Genomic DNA, 1,608 nt, shown 5'->3' with positions numbered 1-1,608 from the left:
TTCAACACTGCAAACCATACATGATAGTCAACTTCATCAATATATAAATATTCTAGATTAAATATTCCACAAACAAACAAAGTAAAATTAACATCAAGAGAAAAGAGATAGGAAAAAAGGTTAACAAACCAGTCCAGGGAGGGTGACAAAGAGGAAAACAGCCTTCTGGTCTGGGCCAGGGGGTCCATCAGTCTTGCAATGAAGAGTCTTTGATGTGTCAGAGCCTTCGGCAGCAGATGCCAGCATTGATCGCAAGTGACAGCAAGACAGTGTCAGTGAAGAGCTGCTTCAAGTTGCCGAAACTCTGCTCTTTTATGGTCACAGAATCTTCTAGTGGGGACTGATAGTGGAAGAGTGTGCTGCTTTTACGTGTCCTTATCTGGCTGGGTACAGTCTTTATCTTGTATTGGCTTATTAAGCAAAACATCTTGTCCTTGTTGGCAAAGTGCCCTATGAAATGTACAATGGAATCTGTTTCTAAGATGGAGTTACTTATGTCAAGGGTGCCCAGGAACAACCAGACCTATGATGGTGGCCCCACTGGCTCTGAGCACTAGGCAAGGAGTGGCCACTGGAGAGAAGAAAGCAGCTCTGCCACAGGAAGACCTTACGCTGCAGGAGGATCAAGAAGGGAAAGATGCAAGAACTAGGAGTGAACAGAGCAGTGGGTGCACACAAAGCCAAGACTATGGGAAATCAGGAATCTTATCAGGACAGTGAGGGAAGAGGTAAAAAGCTATAATCTCACAAAAGGATTCCCTAGAAAAATCCCAAATCCCCCACAGGACCACACATTCCAGGGAATTTAGGGCAACCATGTTTAGAATTCATTGAGTGACAAAGGATCTCACGTGGACACATTCACATCTAGAAGGAAGGTTAGACAACATGTGTCTCTTACCATGGCATAAACCAGAAATAAAATCCTAACCCCCACAATGAACCAAACAAACCCCCTCTTGGCCAAGGGAACCCCACAGAAACTTGAAAAACTGAATTTCCGGCCGTGCCATGACAGGGAGGGAGGTTGGACACGCTTCATTCTACCTTCTCCCTTTTGGGGTTTATGCACAGTTGATCAGCGTGAATATTAAGATGGAGATCATAAGACTGACAAACTGACACTCTGTGGCAATAAAATGCCTAATTCCAACTGGACGCTGGCATAGCATCACATGACAGGTAGCAGATCACAAGCCCTGAAGGAAACCTAAATATTTTACCCCAAAATATATTTCTTTGACATATTTCAAAATGGCCCTACAAAGCTGTCTCTTGTGGGGGAAATTTGCATCTGTAGAGAATCTCCTTCCCTTTTTAGGTCTTTCCCAGATCTAGGAGAGACTGAGAGATTTAACTAAGAGTCTGACACTTTTTAAGATCCAAAAAGAGACATTTACCATCCATTCTCTCTGAAGGCTGCTACCTGGAAGCTTTATTTACATAGCAAGAACCTTGGCATCCACAACCTCCCTTGTCTTAACTCAAGCATTTTGTTCTACTGACTTCAGCTCTTTAGACAAAGCTTAACTCTTTCAATCAGCTGTCAATCAGAAAATCTTTGAACCCACCTATGACCTGTAAGCCCTACTCCTCACCCCTACCTGG

Source organism: Homo sapiens, chromosome 10 (assembly GCF_000001405.40).
Source record: "Homo sapiens chromosome 10, GRCh38.p14 Primary Assembly".
NCBI lineage: Eukaryota > Metazoa > Chordata > Mammalia > Primates > Hominidae > Homo > Homo sapiens.
The sequence above is the reverse complement of the archived record's forward strand: the minus strand, read 5'-3'. Positions refer to the sequence as shown.